Raw genomic sequence first — 20,400 nt, 5'->3', positions numbered from 1 at the left:
ATTTTAACTTATTTTGGTTAGGTCCCAAGTACTTTTTTTTCCCTTCAGTGAGCTTAATAACCTTTTAAGCCGGGCGCCAAGGCCGACACCTGTAATCCCAGCACTTTGGGAGGCCGAGGTGGGTGGGTCATTTGAGTTCAGGAGTTCAAGACTAGCCTGGCCAACATGGTGAAACCCCGTACGAAAATTAACCAGGTGGTAGTGGCGGACACCTGTAATCCCAGCTGCTCAGGAGGCTGAGGCGGGAGAATCGCTTGAGCCTGGGAGGTGGAGGTTGTGGTGGGCTGACATCGCGACCCTGCACTCCAGTCTGGGCGACAGAGTGAGAGCCTGTCTCAAAAAAAAAAACAAAAAAACAAAAACAAAAAAATACCTGTGAAAGTTGAGTGTTTATGTGGTATGCGAATATTTTTAAATCTTCAGTGCAACTAAAGTTCTTCAAATTACGTGTTAGTAGTTTTGATGTTTGTTAAGTGCATTTCATTTGTGCAGTAAAGAGGAGAGTAAGCCACATATTGATAAAATTCCTGTTGCTTCATTTTTTTCCAGAGTTCTAGTAACTCATGTTCTGTACTTGAAGCTGCCAAGCACCAGGATATTGGATTGCCTAGAGCATTTTCTTTCTGTTATCAGCAAGAAATTGAATCCACTAAACAGACGTTAGGTAGTAGAAACAAAGTTTTGCCTGAGCAAGTTTGGATTAAAGTGGGAGGTAAGCGATGAAGCAGCAGGTAGTGGGAGCTTTCTTCTGACTGAGCCCTGTGGCTGATGGCATTTTGGCCTTGGGGGGCAGGGGAGACAGATGGTTTGTACACATGTGAAACAGTCTTGGAGGTGTCTGTGTATCTCAGGGGTCTGTCCACCCGCTTCCCTGTCTTTTCGCTTTAAACATTATTCTGATTCTCAAACATAATTAATCTTGGTGTGAGAACGTTGCGTTTGAGGGCTTTTTCTTAACAGTAAAGTGATAGACTTACATAAATTTTCAGTTATTTTCAAGTTACTGAAAGTACTTTATAGTTTTTTATTTTCCTTATGTTATACTCGATGAGTGAGGCAGTCATCTAACATCTGCCGAAAGCCTTTGGATAGGTGGCTGCTAATAGGAGGACCCTATTAGGGCTGCCAGGGAGAGGCTGTAAGGTGATTCGGAAAGTTTGGAAATAAAGTCACTGCTGAAGGCACTGCTGCGCTAACCTGCATAGTCCCTTCCTCCCTGGGAAACACCTGCGTAGCCCCTTCCTCCCTGGGAAACACCTGCGTAGCCCCTTCCTCCCTGGGAAACACCTGCGTAGCCCCTTCCTCCCTGGGAAACACCTGCGTAGCCCCTTCCTCCCTGGGAAACACCTGCGTAGCCCCTTCCTCCCTGGGAAACACCTGCGTAGCCCCTTCCTCCCTGGGAAACACCTGCATAGCCCCTTCCTCCCTGGGAAACACCTGCGTAGCCCCTTCCTCCCTGGGAAACTGATTTGTGAAGTGACCCGAAAAAAGAACACTCCTTACACTTAGCTTTCCAAGAGTTGGTGAAGACAAGATGGGGAGGAAGAGCTACCGCCTTCTCCCATGTCAGTCCTTCCTTTTCCTCCCTATAAAATTTTATGCCAAAGTATATGTTCACATTTGTAAGATACAAAGATGAGTATTAAAGCAGCCTCTGTGCCGACTACTCAGGTTAAGGAATAAAATATCACCAAAACGACCGAATTCCTCTCTCTCCTGCTGAAAGCTTCATCATCCTTCTGAAATGGGTGCTTTGTGTGGCATACGCGTGCACATGAGCACGCCTGCCAGTCACGTGCCTGTGGTCCTTTGATGGATACAGTTCCACTGACGCACACGTGGCATAGCCTGTCACGCAGCAGAAAAGCTCGGACGCTACTTCTTCCTGCTTTGGGGAGGAGAGCCACTTCTGCGGCGAGGGCACACACACACGCTGCTGCAGTTTTGTTCTGAGCATTGCAGTAAAAATACTGTCATATTAGAATAATTGTTTTTTTTTCTTGTTCTTAGAATAATTGTATATAAAGAAAATATTTTTGGGAGGAAATATGTCCAGGTGGTTTGTTGTTGTTGTTTTTTTTTTTCCATTCTGACCTTTAGAAAAAGTAAACAACTTCTTGTTTTCTGTATTCATAGATAACACCTGTTAATTAAAAAGAGGGGCTTTGGATGAGGTCATATTGGTTGCATAGCACTTGGAAAACGTATTTAGTGTGATGATTGATTCTTGTTCAGTTTCGTTGTATAAAATAGGCTTGGGCTTCATGGTCCCTGCTGATGCTGAAAAACTGCATTAGTACATCTCTTTGTGTTTCGGTTCTCTGTGCTGCTTACCCAATAATGTTTATATCTTGGATTGAAAAGGCCAAAACTGTATTCAGCATTAATTGAGATAAGAATACAAAATTAAAAACCACTTTTTTCTTCTTTCGCAAAGAAGCAGCGCTATGCAAACAAGCACTGAAGAGGAATCGGAGTAGAATGCGTCAGTTGGACACAAATGTAGAGCGAAGAGCCCTTGGAGAGATTCAGAATGTGGGCGAAGGTGCCACCGCCACACAAGGCGCTTGGCAGTCCTCGGAGTCCTCACAGGCAAACCTGGGGGAGCAGGCCCAGAGTGGGCCCCAGGGAGGAAGGTCTCAACGTAGGGAGAGGCATAACCGAATGGAAAGAGATAGAAGGTAATACGTGTGACTGCTTGTCAGGCTGACTCATATATGATTACCTTAGTCATACATGGTTATCACAGATGAGTGATCCTTAGCCGTTTCTGCGTTCAGAGGGAATAAAGCAGGTAGGAGCATCGTTAGCTTTCCCAGATGGATCAAGGATCCCCCAGACTATGCCCAGGCTCGCTGGCTCACTAGGAGGACTCCCGGGACTCCGCATGCAGTCACTCTCAGGCTGTGACTTACTATGGAGAAAGGATGCCAGGTGCGATCAGCAAAGGCGCGTGGGGAGAAGGCAGGAGCTGAGGTGCAAGCTTCTAAGAGCGCGCCCTGTGGAGTCAGGCAGGTTGCCCCTCATGCCCCCAGCCATGTGGTCTGAAAACGTGGGTGAGGTGTTGCCAACCAGGAAAGCTCGCTAGAGACCAGGGGCGTGTCACGTAGGCACTGCCCCCATGCATGCAACCACAGTCCAGTCTCCCAGAAGGAAAGCAGTTGTTCAGTGTCAGCCATATCGTTTGCACAGTGTAGGTTCTGGGGGCACTCTTAACTCCCTGAATCTAGGTTTGCAGACTCCACTAAGGGCCAGCCCTGACTGCAGGCCTTTCTGAGGAGAGTGGTCAGGCTGTTTTGGTAACTGCTGCTTACCAGCCAGCTTGAGTTCAGCAAGTTTTGCCTGGTTCTTTTTTTTTTTTTTTTTTTTTGAGACGGAGTCTTGCTCTGTCGCCCAGGCTGGAGTGCAGTGGCGCGATCTCTGCTCACTGGAAGCTCCGCCTCCCGGGTTCATGCCGTTCTCCTGCCTCAGCCTCCTGAGTAGCTGGGACTACAGGCGCCTGCCACCACACCTGGCTAATTTTTTTGTATTTTTTAGTAGAGACGGGGTTTCAGCATGTTAGCCAGGATGGTCTTGATCTCCTGACCTCGTGATCTGCCCGCCTCGGCCTCCCAAAGTGCTGGGATTACAGGTGTGAGCCACCGCTCCTGGCTATTGCCTGGTTCTTTTAAGATTGCTGGGAAGGAAGAGGTTAAAATTGTTATTTAAGTGGTTTTGTCTGTAGATTTTATTTGTGGTATCCTTCTTTGTAGAATTAAGAGTGGTTAATTTTTTTCTATTATAATTGGGTTTTCTTTTCTTTTTCTTTTTTTTTTTTTTTTTTGAGACGGAGTCTTGCTTTGTCACCCAGGCTGGAATAGTGCAGTGGCATGATCTCGGCTCACTGCAACCTCCGCCTCCCAGGTTCAAGCGAGTCTTCTGCCTCAGCCTCCCCAGTAGCTGGGATTACAGGTACCCGCCACTACGCCCAGCTAATTCTTGTACCTTTTAGTAGAGATGAGGTTTCACCATATTGGCCAGGTTGGTCTCGAACTCCTGACCTTGTGATCCGCCTGCCTCGGCCTCCTAAAGTGCTGGGATTACAGGCATGAGCCACCACACCCGGCCTATAATTGGGTTTTCATAGAATATTTCCCTAATCTATAATTAATTAACTACATAATGTATCGAGTACTGGTACTGTGTACCAGTTTCTGCTTTAAGTTCAGGAAATAAATAACAGTGAGTGAGACAAATACTCAGGTTTGAAGCTCCAAGGTTGAATGTTGAGCTAAGGCAATTTATTTATTTATTTATTTTTTTATTTGGTGAGATGGAGATTTACTCTTGTTGCCCAGGCTGGAGTGCAATGGCACGATCTCGGTTCAACGCAACCTTCGCCTCCCAGGTTCAAGCGATTCTCCTGCCTCAGCCTCCTGAGTAGCTGGGATTACAGGCATGCGTCACCACGCCCAGCTAATTTTGTATTTTTAGTACAGGAGGGGTTTCTCCATGTTGGTCAGGCTGGTCTCGAACTCCTCACCTCAGGTGATCCACGTGCCTCGGCCTCCCAAAGTACTGGGATTACAGGCTTGAGCCACTGCGCCTGGCATGGCAATTTCTTTTAAAGGGATCTATTCAAACTTGCTGGGGCAGGGTGCAGTGGCTCATGACTGTGGGCCGAGGTGGGAGGATTGCTTGAGCCCAGGAGTTTGAAACCAGCCTGGGCAACATAGCAAGTCCCCGTCTCTAAAGAAAAACCAACAATACTAGTAGTGGTGGTGTTGCACACCTGTCGCCCCAGCTACTTGGGAGGCTGAGGTGTGGGAGGATCACTTGAGCCTGGGAGGTCAGCGCTGTAGTCAGCTGTGATCATGCCACTGCACTCCAGCCTGGGCCACAAAGTGAGACCCATCCCCCAAAGAAAGAAAATTAAAAAGCTAGCTAATATCTTTTTATGATACTTTTATACACATGGACTAACTGAGGGCCTTCCTCACCCTACTGTGAATTATGAAGGGCATTTTGCTCCGACATTTATTTAATAGACATTTATTGAGTACCTGCTATGTGGAAAGCCTTACACCGTACGTTGACAGTTTGAAAGTTGGACTTCTAGCTCTACTGCGTAGACTTGTGGTTAGAGTTCAGTGAGCTGATGTGTAAAGAGTGTTTCGCTCAATGTCTAGAAGTCCAAAAGCACCTAGTAAATGCCAGCTGCTGTTTTACTGGCAAAGTCTCTAATTAAAGTTCTAAATAGACGGGTGTGAAGGTGAGTAACAAGGGCCATATTGAATAAGTTGCTCAGTATCTGCTTGTTTAGGACTTTGCATGTTACTGAATGTAATATGTAAAAGTTTAAAAAATAGTCTAATAACAAGACTCCAATTGTTTATCTCTACAAAGACCAAGTTTCAGAATATTAACAGAGTGTTGGGCCGTGATCCTTTCTGAATCAGGGCCCCTTGGAGAAAGCTGTGCACGAGTTCCTGGTAGGGTATTTAGCCCGTGAAGGGCAAGTAATATCAGTCTTGAATGACAGAGTTATCTGCCCAATTTGGACCCCTCAGTGGTCCAAATGGAAGAAGGTGTCAGACACAAAATGTTGCTTCCAGTTTCAGGGGCTTTGGAGCCATCCCTAATCTAGAGACTTGAACCTGGCCCGTGAGAAGTAAAGAGGGAAAGCTCCAGGGAGCTTGTGGGTCATGGGGCCGCCAAGGGCACCCGAGGATGCTCTGGCCTCTGGAAGGCAGTGGCTGCCTCTGTAGACAAGGCCGTGGCAAAGCCGTGGGGCTTCCTGTGGTGACAGGCGCTTCCGTGGCACTCAGTGGCCAGGATGCACGAGCTCTGGTTCCCTCAAGTACTACAGGAGACGCTTCCTTTTACATGTTTGTTTTGCTCCGGTCTCTCTCGGTGATGACTTTGGGTTTTGACTATAGGCGCAGAATCCGCATTTGCTGTGATGAGTTGAATCTCTTAGTGCCGTTCTGCAATGCCGAGACTGACAAGGCCACAACTCTGCAGTGGACCACAGCATTCCTGAAATACATCCAGGAAAGACATGGAGATTCTCTTAAAAAGGTTAGTGGTAGGCCAGGTAGATTTTCAGAATTTTACAAATTTTACTTAACAATGTCCCTCCTTTTTCCTAAGGATAACTCAAACTATCCTTTGTTTCCTGGAATCTAACATCAAATACTAAGTCCAGTATGAGCAAAGCTCTGCTCTTTAATGATATAACTTGTCATTTATTAAAGTAATAGTCACAGCCTACATGTGTTACACTCAGTGTGTAAATAACTGTGAAGAGGCAATTGTCAGATAGCAAATTGGGCACCTGCTGTGTACGGTATATTGCACTGGGGCTGACGGGTGTGTAGGACATGATATTTGCCCTCAGAAAAACTTGTGAAAGGGATAAAAGCAAGAATAGAAAAACAAAAACCGGCCAGCCACAGTGGTTCACGTCTGTAATCCCAGCACTTTGGGAGGCTGAAGTGGGAGGATCTCTTGAGCCCAGGAGTTTGAGACCAGCCTGGGCAACATGGCAAGACCCCATCTCTACTAAAAAATACAAAAATTAACCTGGTGTGGTGGCGTATGCCTGTAGTCCCAGCTGCTCGGGGCGGGGGCTGGGAGGGAGGATCAATTGAGCCAGGGAGGTCGAGGCTGCAGTGAGCTGAGATCATACCACTGCACTCCAGCCTGGGCAACAGGGCAAGACCCTGCCCCACCCCCACCCACCCCAAAAAAGAAAGAGAAACAAAAATGCAGATAAGTGTCAAATAGTCTGATCTGGACTTCAAATATGCCCAGCAGGTTAATAAGAAATATACTTCTGTGGACTGGGTGCATATACTTCTGTGGACTGGGTGCATATACTTCTGTGGACTGGGTGACTATACTTCTGTGGACTGGGTGACTATACTTTTGTGGACTGGGTGACTATACTGTGGACCGGGTGACTGTACTTCTGTGGACCGGGTGACTATGCTTCTGTGGACCGGTGACTGTGCTTCTGCGGACCGGGTGACTGTACTTCTGTGGACCGGGTGACTATGCTTCTGTGGACCGGGTGACTATACTTCTGCGGACTGGGTGAATGTACTTCAGCCGACCGGGTGACCATGCTTCTGCGGACTAGGTGACTATACTTCTGCGGACTGGGTGAATATACTTCTGCTGACTGGGTGAATGTACTTCTGCAGACTGGGTGACTATACTTCCATGGACTGGGTGAACATACTTTTGTGGACTGGTTGACTATACCTTTGTGGACTCGGTGAATATACTTCTGCGGACCGGGTGACCGTGCTTCTGTGGAATGGGTGAATATACTTCTGCGGACCAGGTGACTATGCTTCTGTCAACCAGGTGAATATACTTCTGTGGACCGGGTGACTGTACTTCTGTGGACCGGGTGAATATACTTCTGTGGACCGGGTGAATATACTTCTGTGGACTGGGTGACTAGGGAGGAGCCGGCGTGTTAGCGCCAGCATATGCAGTCCCTCAGGACAGCCAGCCTGCCGTGATCCTGTCTGTGTGGTCGTGGCAGTGGCCTGCAGCAAGCCATCGTGGTTGGCTGGAACTAGACGTGTGATTTGAATGCAGGAGTTCAGTCAGCCCCTCAGTGGCCTAAAAGGAAGAAGGTGTCAGTCACAGGGCTGGTTCTGGGCCCTGCCTTGGGGGGACCCCAGTTCCAGGGTTCTGGGCCCTGCCTTCAGGGGACCCGAGTTCCAGGGTCCTGGGCCCTGCCTTTGGGGGACCCGAGTTCCAGGTCCCGGCCTCAGCGTTGCAGTGGCCAGGGTCAGTGGCTCTTTGGCCCTCTAGGAGTGAGCAGACCTTAGTGAAATAGATCCACAGGGTCCTGACTTTGTACCTGGTCCAAGCTGTTGGGGAATTGCTGCTGTTGACCCAGGCAGGAGTCTGACTAGAGAACAAACTAAGGTTGCTGCAACAAACAAGGACCTCTTCCAAGAAGGGCTCCCAGGCCTGGCGCAGTGACTCATGCCTGTGATCCCAGCACTTGGGAGGCCGAGGCGGGTGGATCATTTGAGGCCAGGAGTTCGAGACCAGCTTGGCCAACATGATGAGACCCCCGTCTCTATTAAAAATACAAAAATTAGCCAGGCGTGGTGGCGCCTGTAGTCCCAGCTACTCAGGAGGTTGAAGCAGGAGAATTGTTGAACCCGGGAGGCGGAGGTTGCAATGAGCCAAGATAGCACCACTGCACTGCAGCCTGGGTGACAGAGCGAGACTCCATCTCAAAAGAAGGGCTCCTGTGTCTACGTCATGGTGGGGCTAGAGAGAGGTCCCCGCAGCTGGGCTGTGTTGAGTGAGGGCTCGTCTCTTCAGCGCCAGGCAATAGTTTGTCTTGTCTCTGTCCCTTTTCTGTGTCCACATGACATTTACATCTTGCGAGTTGCATAATTTAAGTTGTTTATTTACATTATACATTTAATTGCATTCTATAGCGATGCTATGTTGAATGTATTCTGATCGGATCGTTTATGGTTATTTACAATGCAGTTACTCTTGAAGATTATTGTTAGAGGTAGACTGTTGATTTGTTTTGATAAAATAAAGCTTTTGTGTTTTAAAAAATGCTTTAATGTTTTGGCTTTGTGTATCTATTAGTAAATCATTATTGATCTGATTTACTCAAGACGAAGGCATTTATAATTTTTGAAATTAAAAAATGTTAATTGTATGTATAGTCAAAGATTAAGTAGACCAAATGTTTATGGATATGATACTTTACATACATTATGTTTGCTGAATATTTCTTAAATGTAATTACATTGAATCTGATTACTTCTGGGTCACATTATTAGACCCACCAAGAAACAGGCTGAGGTCAAGTCAGTTCACAATTTTTTCGGGGAATTAGAACATAAAAAGCCGAAACACATGGGTTCTTAATTGTTTCTTTAGTGACTGCCCCCTTTTACTTGGATGCATATTTTTGTCCTTGAAGACGTAATACATGAGAGTTTTAAGTGATTTCTCTACATTATTTTGGTACACATTTCACTCAGCAGGTCTTTTCCAGTGTGACCAGGCACTGCTGAAGGTGCTGGGGTACCCTGCGCAAGATAGAGGCATGTCTGGCATGGAGGGAGGCAGGGGACGAGTAAACGTGAAGACAGTGGGAGCAGGGCCTTGCGGGTGGAAGGTGCTGCTGCGAGCCAGCCGGACTCGGGGGCTGCTTTGGATTGGGTGATGTTGGGTGGTCGAGGGAGGCGCCCAACCAAGGCCCAATGATGACAGGGAGCTGGCAGCCAGGACCTGCCGGCTGCAGAGTCTGAGGAGTGCCTGCCTGCCAGCCAGTGTTGCTGGGCAGGGCACCGGGGCAGGCTGGGGCCTGGTGGACCGCTAGTCCTGAGGGTTGGGGGCCTCGGCAGTCTTTGGGCAGTGAGTGACATGACCCATATCACCCTGCTGCTGGGGGACACTGGATGCTAGGGAGTAGGAGCTGGGCTGGGGTGAGAGTGGAAACCAGGAGTCTGCAGTAGCTGGAAGATGTGGCTTGCCGGGCGATGGCTGCCAGGGGGCGGCGCTGGGGAGGAGGAAAGGCACAAGGCTTCTTGTGTTTGTGGCGGTACCAGTTGGGGGTTGTGATGGGAAAAAGGCGTCAGGGTTTGGCCTCGGTGGCTGGGTGGATGGGGCTGTTTACTGAGAGGGAAGACTCAGAGAAGCAGGATCTCGGCATTCTGGGGGCGTCAGGTGGGGACATCGGGAGGCAGGGGATAGATAAGTATGGGGTGAGGGCAGGGCGGCGTCAGCCATCAGTGATTCACTTCTGTTCGTTTTCTAGTGAACATAGGAATTACAGTGAACACCTGTACACCCATGCTTCAGTCTCAGCAATGAACATTTACCGTATTTACTTTGTACACACGCACAATTTCAAAGACAATTATAGACACGAACCTTCATCTCTAAATATTTCTACATAAATCTCCAAGACAGGCCTTCCACAGAATCCCAGTGCCATGATCATGCCTCCCCAAGATAATAAGTCTTTTTCATATCCTCTAATGCACAGACTATTCAGATTTGCCCAAAATGTTCTTTTATTGCCACTATACCTGCCTAATTTTTTTATTTTAATGTTTATTTTGTTTTGTTTTATTTTTTTGAGACAGGGTCTTGCTGTCTCCCAGGCTGGAGTGCAGTAACATGATTATGGCTCACTGCAGCCTCTGCCTCCTGGGCTCAAGCAATCCTCTTGCCTCAGCCTCCTAAGTAGCTAGGACTTCAGGTGTGTGCCATCATGACCAGCTAATTTTATTTTTGTAGGGATGGGGTTTTGCCATGTTTCACAGGCTGGTCTCATACTTCTGGGCTCAAGTGATCCTCCTGCCTCAGCCTTCCAAAGTGCTGGGATTACAAGCATGAGCCACCATGCCTGACTAGTTTTTTAATTTTTGTAGCAATAGGGTCTTGCTATGTTGCCCAGGCTGGCCTCCCAAAGTGCTGGGATTACAGGCATGAACCACCACACCCAGCCAAAATGTTCTAAAAATGACTTTCATAGCTGTTTTTTTCCACAGTCCAGCACCCAGCCATGGATTATGCACTGCATTTGATGACAGTTTTCAAGCTCTTTGAGCTACAAGAATCCCCCCCACAGTTATTAACTATGGCATTGAGGCTTTGAAGAGATCAGGCCGGTTGTCTAGAGAATGCCCCACATTCTGGGTTTAGATGGCTCTATTTACTGTTGGTAATTTTAAATTTTGGTGTAATTTCAAACTTACAGAAAAATTGCAAGAACAGTACAAAGAGCTCTTTGTAGGCCTGTCCGGGTTTGCTCCATTCTCCCTGCCGGTCCCAGTTTCTCTCCAGGTATCTTTGGGATCCATTTGATAGTAAGCTGCAGACACCATGCTTCTTTATACTTAAATACTTCCGTGTTTTTTTTTTGAGACGGCGTCTCGCTCTGTTGCCCAGGCTGAAGTGTAGTGGTGTCATCTTAGCTCACTGCAACCTCTGCCTCCCAGGTTCAGGCAATTCTGCCTCAGCCTCTTGAGTAGCTAGGACTACAGGCATGGCCCACCATGCCCGGCTAATTTTTGTATTTTTAGTAGAGACCAGGTTTCACCATGTTGGCCAGGCTGGTCTCAAACTCTTGACCTCAAGTGATCCTGCCTACCTCAGCCTCCCAAAGTGCTGGGATTACCATTGAGCCACCACACCCAGCTAATTTTTGTATTTAATAGAGACAGGGTTTCACCATGTTGGCCAGGCTGATTTTGAACTCCTGACCTTGTGATCCGCCTGTCTCAGCCTCCCAAAGTGCTGGGATTACAGGCCTGAGCCACCACACCCGGCCCAGTGTTTACTTTTTTTGAGACGGAGTCTCGCTCTTGTCACCCAGTCTGGAGTGCAATGGCGTGATCCCGGCTGACTGCAACCTCCGCCTCCTGGATTCAAGCGATTCTCCTGCCTCAGCCTCCCGAGTAGCTGGGATTACAAACGCATCCCACCACGCCCGGCTAATTTTTGTATTTTTAGTAGAGACAGTGTTTCGCCATGTTGGCCAGGCTGGTCTCGATCTTACCTCAGGTGATCCTCCCGCCTCGGCCTCTGAAAGTGCTGGCATTACAGGCTTGAGCCACTGTGCCCGGCCCCCGTGTTGACTTTTTAATATCCACAACGATGAAAATCAGGACATTTAACATTGGTGCAAGACTGTTATTCACATTTTGCCTGCTGTCTCAATAGTGCCCACTACAACTTTTTCCCCAGTCGGGATGGCGTCTGGGGCGCTGGTTGTGTTTAGTTGTGAGATGCCCCTGCACGCTGGGGGCCCTGAAGGTGCCAGCCACTCCTGGGGCCTCCCTTGTGGTGTCTGTCCCTCCCTTCTTCACACCAGCAGGTGGTTGAGTCCCGCTTCGCATCTCCCTGCCATCTGCATCAGGCCCCGGTGTCGCTGTCCCTCACGTGCTGTCTGTTGTCAGGCCCTGCTGCAGACTCGGACTGGCCTGTCCCTTCTCTCCTCCTTTCCTGCGGACACGCTGTGACTTCTCCCGTGATCCTTCTGTGAGAACTCCCTGGACCTCGTGTCCTGTACTGGCAACCGCCCATTTCTCTGCTCTCCTTGGCTGCCCGGCTGCCCGGCGCTTGTCTGTACCTCCTGAGCCACTTCATCCTCTCTTGGATCCATTCCCAGCAGCCTGTGATCATGGCCTCCCATGCCGTTTGGTCACGCCACCACGCCCAGCTAATTTTTGTATTTTTAGTAGAGATGGAGTTTTGCCATATTGGCCAGGCTGGTCTCGAACTCCTGACCTCAGGTGATCCGCCCGCCTCGGCCTCCCACAGTGCTGGGATTACCAACGTGAGCCACCGCGCCTGGCCTACATACGGATTTTCATTCTGTTTTTGAACATGGCCACTGGAGGGCCTCTCGGCTGCAGAGCAAGCGTTTGTAGCTTGTTCGTGGCAGAATGAGCCGAACGCTGTGTTGTGACCTGTTTTAAAAATAAAGCATCTTGAAAAAGAAAAGCCATTCTTTTTGTCCTAATGAGTTTATGCCTCCTTACCTCTGGCCACCTGAGCTCCTTGGTCTGCTGTACCCCTCTGGCCTGGGCCGTGCTGGAGTCTTTCTGGGGCTCAGTCATTCACTTTGTTGGTTTTTTATGTGGGGTCAGTGGTAGTGCTTTTTCCATCATAATTTGCTCTTATCTTTATTATCCCAAAACCTTATTTCTATTATTTCCTTCTTGAAGTTTTATTTTTTTCTGGTATCTTGGGTTGAAAGTTTATTTTGTCTATGTTGTTTTCTAATCAATGCATTATAGTAAATTTGTCCTGGTGTGCTTTTGAAACATTTCACAGGTTAGGACACAATGCTTTCATTGTTTCTCAGTTTTAAATAGCTTGTAATTTTTTTTTTTTTTTTTTGAGATGAAGTTTCACTCGTTGCCCAGGCTGCCGTGTAATGGCGCGATCTTGGCTCACTACAGCGTCTGCCTCCTGGGTTCAAGCAATTCTCCTGCCTCAGCCTCCTGAGTAGCTGGGATTACAGGCATGTGCCACCACCCCGGCAAATTTTGTATTTTTATTAGAGATGGGGTTTCTCCATGTTGGTGAGGCTGGTCGTGAACTCCCGACCTCAGGTGATCCACCCACCTCGGCCTCCCAAAGTGCTGCGATTACAGGTGTGAGCCACTGCACCCGGCCGCTTTCTTCCTCTTAATAACTTCCTGGTATATTTTCCTGACTCATAGTTAGAGCTATTTCTTTTTTCTTACTAAGAAAATTTTTTTTATTGTTGGTATTATTATTTTTCTTTTTCTTTCTCTCTTTTTTTTTTTTTCCCAGCGAGGGGCCCTCATTCTGTCACCCAGGCTGGAGTGCGGTGCAACCACAGCTTAGTGCAGCCTCGTCCTCTTGGGCTCAGGTGCTCCTCCTGCCTCAGCCTCCCGAGTAGCTAGGACCGTAGGCGCCCCTCACCACCGCACCCGTCTTGTTGTTATTCTTCTCATGTTCACAAATCTAACATGAGTATCTGCTTTGGGACGTTGTCATCTCAATGTTTTGATGTTATAAAAATTCCTTTAAAACTCAACGATTTCACATATGTTCTGTTGCAAATAGATGCATTTGGATTGAGGTGCAGATTGAGAGTGCGATGACATCAGTACCACGTCTTTGGCCTGGGCTCAGCTGAGGAGGACTAAGGGGATCTGCTCCTCTCTTTCACAGCTGCCCCAGCTCCCAGGAGACGGGTCGTGGGCGGGCCCTGCAAGGGTCCAGATGGAACCACAACTCAACCCTGCCTCTGCCCAACTGTTCATAGTGAAGGCAGACGCCGGGACTAGCCTCATCACTGTGTGAAAATAGTTCAGAAGATCTTGCGAGCGCCTAGTTATGTCTGAGGATGATTATTTTCTTCCTTCCTTCTTTTTTTTTAAATTATCGTCTTTTAAATTTAGATGGATAATTAAGAATGCTTCCAATTTAAGGTTCTAAGCACAAACTCCAGATACGTCATGTTATGGACTTGCTTCCTGAAGATGAAATCAGCAGTTGATGGAAAGAATCCACAACACGCCTACAGAACAGCAAATCACAAATGGCTGTGTCTCCACGAAGCCAGGAGCTTTGCATTTGAAGTTTCTATCTGGGCTCATTTCCAGCTGTTCAGGGTTCGGATTCCTGAAGGCTTCCTTAGCATTTAACTCATTCTTTGTTGACTGAAGGCACTGGCACTGTTTCTCCACACGCAAACTGATCTTTGTCATAAATCACTTTTATAATGAGAGAGCAGCCTGGACACATTGCCACACCTTCCCCATTCTCCAGCTCTTCCTTGGTGATGGAGAAGTTATCTCCGCATGGGCAGGGACAGAAATATGTCTCCGAGTCCTCGTCATATTGGAAGTCCTCGATTTCCACCTCGTCATGAAATACTGCCATGGTCAGCGGGGGTTGCTGAAGGGGTGACGCCCCAGCAGTCCGAGACCAGCTCCGAGGGTCTAACTTCTCCGGAGCCGGCCCAGGCTCTGACTTTCATTTAATTGTCCTGAAAGGTGAATTCTATCTTGCCAAATAGGCAAGTGTTTTTTATATGTAGGCTTTAGGTGTCAGAATATAGGAAATTATCAAAATGTGGGGTCATTTTAAATTGCATCCTAAAACCTTTTAAAATTTGGGAAGAAGCTGGGCGTCGTAGCTCACGCCTGTAATCCCAGCACTTTGGGAAGCTGAGGTGGGCAGATTACCTGAGGTCAGGAGTTCGAGACCAGCCTGGCCAATACGGTGTGACCCCCGTCTCTACTAAAAATACAAAAATTAGCCGGGCGTGGTGGTACATGCCTGTAATCCCAGCTACTCAGGAGGCTGAGGTGGGAGAATCAGTTGAACCCAGGAGGCAAAGGTTGCAGTGAGCTGAGATCGTGCCATTGCACCCCAGTCTGGGCGACAAGAGTGAAACTCCATATCCAAAAAAAAAAAAAATTGGGAAGAAAATGAGTATATTTATATGCAGGTGTAGATTCTGAGTGCACACAGTAGTTGGAAATGGCAGCTTGCTTGGTTGGAAAGTTGCTTAAAAGTGGATGGGTGGAATGTTCCAGTCACTCCAGGTGGTTCAGAAGTTAAATCCATGGCAGCATGGCGCTTGTGTCCTCCTGGACTTGAATTAAGTAGAAAGTTACTACAACTCAGCAACAAAAAGACTACACAGACTGGGAACCGTGGCTCCCGCCTGTAATCCCAGCACTCTGGGAGGCCGAGGTGGGTGGATCACCTGAGGTCAGGAGTTTGAGACCAGCCTGGCCAACATGGTGAAACCCTGTCTCTACTAAAAAAACAAAAATTAGCCGGGTGTGGTGGCAGGTGCCTGTAATCCCAGCTATTCAGGAGGCTGAGGCAGGAAAATTGCTTGAACCCCAGGAGGCAGAGGTTGCAGGGAGGTGGAGGTTGCAGTGAGCTGAGATCACGCTGTTGCACTCCAGCCTGGGTGACAGAGTGAGACTCGGTCTCAAAAAAAAAAAAACAAAAAACAAACAAAAAAAAACAGAAAAAAAATGTTGAAAGCCAGGCGTGATGGTGTGCACCTGTAGTCCCAGCTACTCGGGAGGCTGAGCCTGCAGTGAGCCGTGGATGTGCCACTGCATTCCAGCCTGAGAGAGCAAGACCCTGTCCAAAAAAAAGACAGCACAACTGAAAAATGGGCAAAGAACTTGAATAGACATTTCTCCAGAGAAGATACACAGATGGCCAATAAGCCCATGAAAGATGCGCCAAGCCGTTAGTCATTAGGGAAATACGAATCAAGACCCAATGAGATACTACTTTTACACATACTAGGATGGCTATTCAAAAACAAAAACAAAAGCAAAATAGCAAGTGTTGGCAAGGATGTGGAGACATCAGAATCCCTGTGCTTTGCCGCTGGGGGTGTGAAATGGTGCAGCCACTGTGGAAGACAGTATGACAGCTCCTCAGAAGGTTCAACATAGAATCACCAGAGAAGCATAAACCCCAAAGAGGTGAAACAGGGACCCAAATGGATGCTTTTCTATGAATATTCATGGCAGCACCTTTCACAGTGGCCAAAAGGTGGAAATGACTCAAGTGTGCTCCAGCAGAGGAATGAGTAAACAAATGTGTTACAAGCACACAACAGAATCTTACTCAGCCATGAAAAGGAATGAAATTCTGACACAGGCTACAGCATGGATGGCCCGAGGTCATTATGCTGAGTGAAATAAGCCAGTCACAACAGGGCACACCCTGCGGGATTCCGTAAACAAGGCACCTAGAGCCGTCAGATTCAGAGAGACAGAAAGTGGACTGGTACGTGCCAGGGGCTGGGGGCCGGAGCGGTGTGGAGTTAGTGTTTAATGGGTACGGAGTTTCTGTTTAGGGTGATGAAAAGGTGGTGGCGGCTGCACAGCACTGTGAGTGGACTTCACGCTGCTCCACTGTACACTTACACATGCTTAAAAGGCAAATTTTATGCTATATTTTAATACCACAATAAAAACTGTATAAACCTGGATTTAATCGTGTAGAATGCTATGTTTTAAAACCAACTTATGGAAATTTTCAAATCTGCACAGAAATAGAAAGTGAACTCCCAGGTCCCTCTAACTCAGTTTCAGGCATCAGCTTGTTTCACCTATCCCCTCGCCCTCCCACCCCCGCTGAATTATTTTAAAACAATTCCAGACATCATTTCATTCATAAATATATCTTCCGAAAGAAAAGGCCTGTTTAAAAACACAACCGCATTATCAGTCTCCTTCCTGAAAGCCTTCACTCCTTATTACCCACCTGAGTCTCCTTCCCGAATCTGAGCAGAATCTCCCGTGAGCCCACAGGTGTCTCTACGGTCAGCTCATTTGAATCAGGATCCAAACATCACATTTGGTTGATAGTTTTTAAATATATCTTAACCCGTAATAGTTCCCCCTTCCTTTCTTCCTCACCGTTCATTTGTTGAAAAGGGAATGATTTGTCCCGTAGACGTTTCCACATTCTGCCCGTGGTGGTTGGCGCCTGTCATCGGGCCGTCGCCTGTGCCCCTCTCTTCCTCTCAGTCTCCTTCGGGAGGTTGAGACTGACCCCACCATTATAATTGAGGCCTTTTGTAAAAGACAGGTGGTGTGACAGGAGCAAGCTCAGCCCACCCCCACCCTGCTGGCAGGGTCTCCCCAAGGACAGAGCCATCTCAGCGAGCAGCACCTCCACCTTGCTGGCCTTGGAACCCTGAGTGTGTGGCAGTGCAGAGGGCAAGGCAGTCGCCCTGGGGTGGGGGTAGATGCCCCTGACTTGTTAATTGTTGAAACTTTTTAAAAATTTATTTTTTTGAGACGGAGTTTCACTCTTGTTGCCCAGACTGGAGTGCAATGGCATGATCTCGGCTCACTGCAACCTCCACCTCCCAGGCTCAAGAGATTGTCCTGCCTCAGCCTCCCAAGTAGCTGGGGTCACAAGATGCTTGCCACCACGCCCAGCTAATTTTTGTATTTTTAGTAGAGATGGGGTTTCACCATGTTAATCAGGCTGGTCCTGAACTCCTGACGTCAGGTGATCCACCCACCTCGGCCTCCCAAAGTGCTGGGATTATAGGCGTGAGCCGCCACGCCCGGCCTGAAACGTTTTAATATATACACTCTACCTTCTCTCACACGCTGGGTTTACAGGTTTATTAGCTAGGGCCCATTAGCGGTTGAAACGTTCATGTCATGTATATTTTACCACAATAAAATCAATACAGTGTGGCCAGACATTCTGAGTATTGGAAAAACAAAAGTACATGTACAGTGTAACTGCTATTTGAAAAAAAAAAAGTTAAAATCTGTTTATTATATAAATCCCCTTGTGAGGTAAGACACAAGTTTGTGAATGACACCTTAAAACAGCGTATTCTAAAGTCATTTACTTAGCTCTTAATTTGAACCTTTTGCACTTTGGAAGACAGCAGTTTTCATGTCAGTTAATTCAGTATGTTAACCGTCACTTCTTCACTGCAGGAATTTGAGAGCGTATTTTGCGGTAAAACTGGCCGAAGGCTAAAGCTGACCAGACCGGACTCCTTGGTGACCTGTCCTGCACAGGGGAGTTTACAGAGCAGCCCCTCGATGGAGATCAAGTGATCGGACTGAACAGGAATCCTCGGGGGGTGAACAGCCATTCCTTCGTGACCTGTGCACGCCTTCTGCAACCCTGGAGCTCTGCTCGGCTAGTCTGACTCGAAAAGGGCGTGACTCAAGCTGACGGGACTCCAGTAGGGACTTTGAGAGCACATTTTGTAAAAATATTTATCTAGACGCAAATGCTTATCCATGAATGTCCTCTTAGACCATTTGGGGATGAAGCCATCTTAATAATTAGTAATAATTAATTAGTAATAATTAGTAAGCATTTTCTCAATGCTCTGATTCCATCATGTTTTCTTAACATGATAACTTAAAAAATTGACATCCTTTGTACTTTCTTTAATCTTAAAAAGTACACGGCTTTTTACTTATTTACCTTTTAAATATGCCCCTTTAGCAATTGGAACAAGTTAAATTGTTAACTAAAAACAGTTTGGAAATTTTATTTCATTCGTTATATCACACCCCCTTGTCATGACTCTGAGTCACGTGCTGCTGTATTGCAACGTGCAGGACCATTTTAAACCTGTGTGCTAAAAATTTTCCAGATACTTGCTTTAAAGCTACTTTTGTCCACAAATGAAATACTGTCACAGTAGACGCTTAAATGCCACGTTTTCATACCAAGAGTCATTCATTACTTCATGTGTCACAAACTGTGGTGTTTGGAATTGGGTTTTTCAATGAGTGGCTTTACTTATCAATCACAACAGGTAATAGCAATAGACGTTAGTGCAATACAAAGTCACCCTCAATAAATACTGTTAATTGGAGATGTGAGTTTGTACACAAAACATCAGACTAGACCTTTGTATGGGAGAGAATTTACTGTACATTAAATTCTTTATTTTTTGTTACTCTGTAGCCAGTCATTAATCTGAAGGTTTAATATATCATTTTATTGGGATGAGATCATAGTCTTTACACAAATGCTATGTAAACAAGTTACTGAATATTTTTCACCTCGTGGAGTTGTACACAACCTTTTATATATACACACCCTACCTTCTCTCAAATGCTGGGCTTACAGGTTTATTAGCTAGGGCCTTTTGAGGTATGCTGTCAGGCGACAGCCCGATGAGGGTGCTCGCTGGCAAGGCCCGCGCGTCCAGTCGGCGGCCGAGGGGCAGCCAGGGGCGCTCCCTCTCCTGGACGTCACCCGCCTGCCACACCCCCGCTCCTTCATGACCGTCCACTGTGCTTCGGGCGTCCTTGTCACTTGCTTCCTCACGTTGAATTTTATGAGCTTCGAGAGCCTGATTTCTCCCCGACCCCTCCTAACACGGCTCCTTGGCAGGCTGAGGTGTCGCAGATCCCCGGTGTCCCCTGGGCCCCAATGGCACCTGGAAGCCCAGGATCTCCGGGAGGCCCAGGCTCGCCGGGAGCACCGTCCTGGCCGTCCTTGCTGGTGCCGGGCACGCCTTGGGGTCCTTGGGACAGAGCAGAAAGGTGAGTTCAGCTGCAGCCCGGACTGAAAGCAGGGGGACTTGACATCCAGCTGTGGGCAAGCCCTGCTCTTCCATCTGCTCACTCTTCACTTGGGGAGAGGCCACAGCGGGTGGGGAGGCCGAGGGAACGGCACACAAAGGCTCTCCGCGGGGCTGGCGGTCGGGAGTGTCCGGGGAAGGCCAGGCGCGGCCAGCCCCAGGCAGGGGTGCAGAGCCGTCCTGAGGACACCCGCACTCTGACTTACGCGGGTTTGGTGGGGGCTGTGTGAGTAAGGAGTGGATTTGGAGTGAGCAGGGGGCCCGGAGTGGGGGGTTGTGGGGTGGCTTTGGTGAGTGATGACAGTGGAAACATGGGAGGCCTGGGTGTGAGGGAAGAGGGAGTCAGCCGCCTAAGTGGGGGGTGTCAGAGCCCTTCACTGAGATGAGGTGACAAAGTCCAGAATGGTGCGGGCATGGTGTGGGCATGGTGCGGGCATGGTGCGGCCGGGAGGCTGCTGTCCACCAGCAAGTGCAACACAGATGCTGTTCAGAGCCACAGGCGGAGAGACGTGGCTGGGGCCTGGGACCCCTGTGCGTTTGGACACCAGGTAGAGGCAGAGCTAGGTCAGCAAAGGAGAGTCCAGGAGCATGGGGCACCCAGAGAGCAGTGTGTGTGCGTGGAGGGGAGAAGGGGAGAGGGCTCCAGGGCACCCAGAGAGCAGCGTGCGTGCATGGAGGGGAGGACAGGGCTCCAGGGCACCCAGGGAGAGGTGGGGTGGGTGGAGGAGAGGAGAGGGCTCCAGGGCACCCAGGGAGAGGTGGGGTGGGTGGAGGAGAGGAGAGGGCTCCAGGGCACCCAGGGAGAGGTG

General features: G+C 48.3%; 2 protein-coding genes and 1 pseudogene across 16 annotated transcripts in view, besides 1 other annotated feature; 1 reads left to right on the top strand and 2 right to left on the bottom strand.

Annotated features, from left to right (window-relative positions):
* The window catches only part of TCFL5 (transcription factor like 5), a 20,818-nt gene extending 1,747 nt beyond the window's left edge, over window positions 1-19,071 (top strand). For 2 of the 13 annotated variants that reach the window (NM_006602.4, XM_047439840.1), the window contains exons 3-6: window positions 550-712; window positions 2,438-2,681; window positions 5,919-6,060; window positions 17,979-19,071. In NM_006602.4, the coding sequence (NP_006593.2) occupies window positions 550-712; window positions 2,438-2,681; window positions 5,919-6,060; window positions 17,979-18,101 (672 nt within the window). In that variant the 3' untranslated portion in view covers window positions 18,102-19,071. Of the gene's footprint in view, window positions 1-549; window positions 713-2,437; window positions 2,682-5,918; window positions 6,061-7,187; window positions 8,587-13,928; window positions 14,374-17,978 lie in introns of those variants that run through there. The other 11 variants (XM_005260185.5, XM_011528497.4, XM_024451808.2 and 8 more) reach the window with 11 other exon arrangements.
* Window positions 12,245-12,539: an enhancer, noted in NCBI's record as "tiled region #13411; HepG2 Activating non-DNase unmatched - State 25:Art, and K562 Activating DNase matched - State 12:CtcfO". NCBI's record gives its function as "activates a minimal TATA promoter and a strong SV40 promoter by Sharpr-MPRA in HepG2 and K562 cells {active_cell/tissue: HepG2 | K562}" and the evidence as "EXISTENCE:reporter gene assay evidence [ECO:0000049][PMID:27701403]".
* DPH3P1 (diphthamide biosynthesis 3 pseudogene 1) lies at window positions 13,885-14,479 on the bottom strand (annotated as a pseudogene).
* The window catches only part of COL9A3 (collagen type IX alpha 3 chain), a 24,947-nt gene continuing 23,463 nt past the window's right edge, over window positions 18,917-20,400 (bottom strand). For all 3 annotated transcript variants that reach the window (XM_047439894.1, XM_047439893.1, NM_001853.4), the window contains one exon: window positions 18,917-19,534. In XM_047439894.1, the coding sequence (XP_047295850.1) occupies window positions 19,344-19,534 (191 nt within the window). In that variant the 3' untranslated portion in view covers window positions 18,917-19,343. The remainder of the gene's footprint in view (window positions 19,535-20,400) is intronic.

The sequence above is a fragment of the Homo sapiens genome, chromosome 20 (assembly GCF_000001405.40).
Source record: "Homo sapiens chromosome 20, GRCh38.p14 Primary Assembly".
Taxonomy (NCBI): Eukaryota; Metazoa; Chordata; class Mammalia; order Primates; family Hominidae; genus Homo; species Homo sapiens.
The sequence above is the reverse complement of the archived record's forward strand: the minus strand, read 5'-3'. Positions and strand labels throughout refer to the sequence as shown.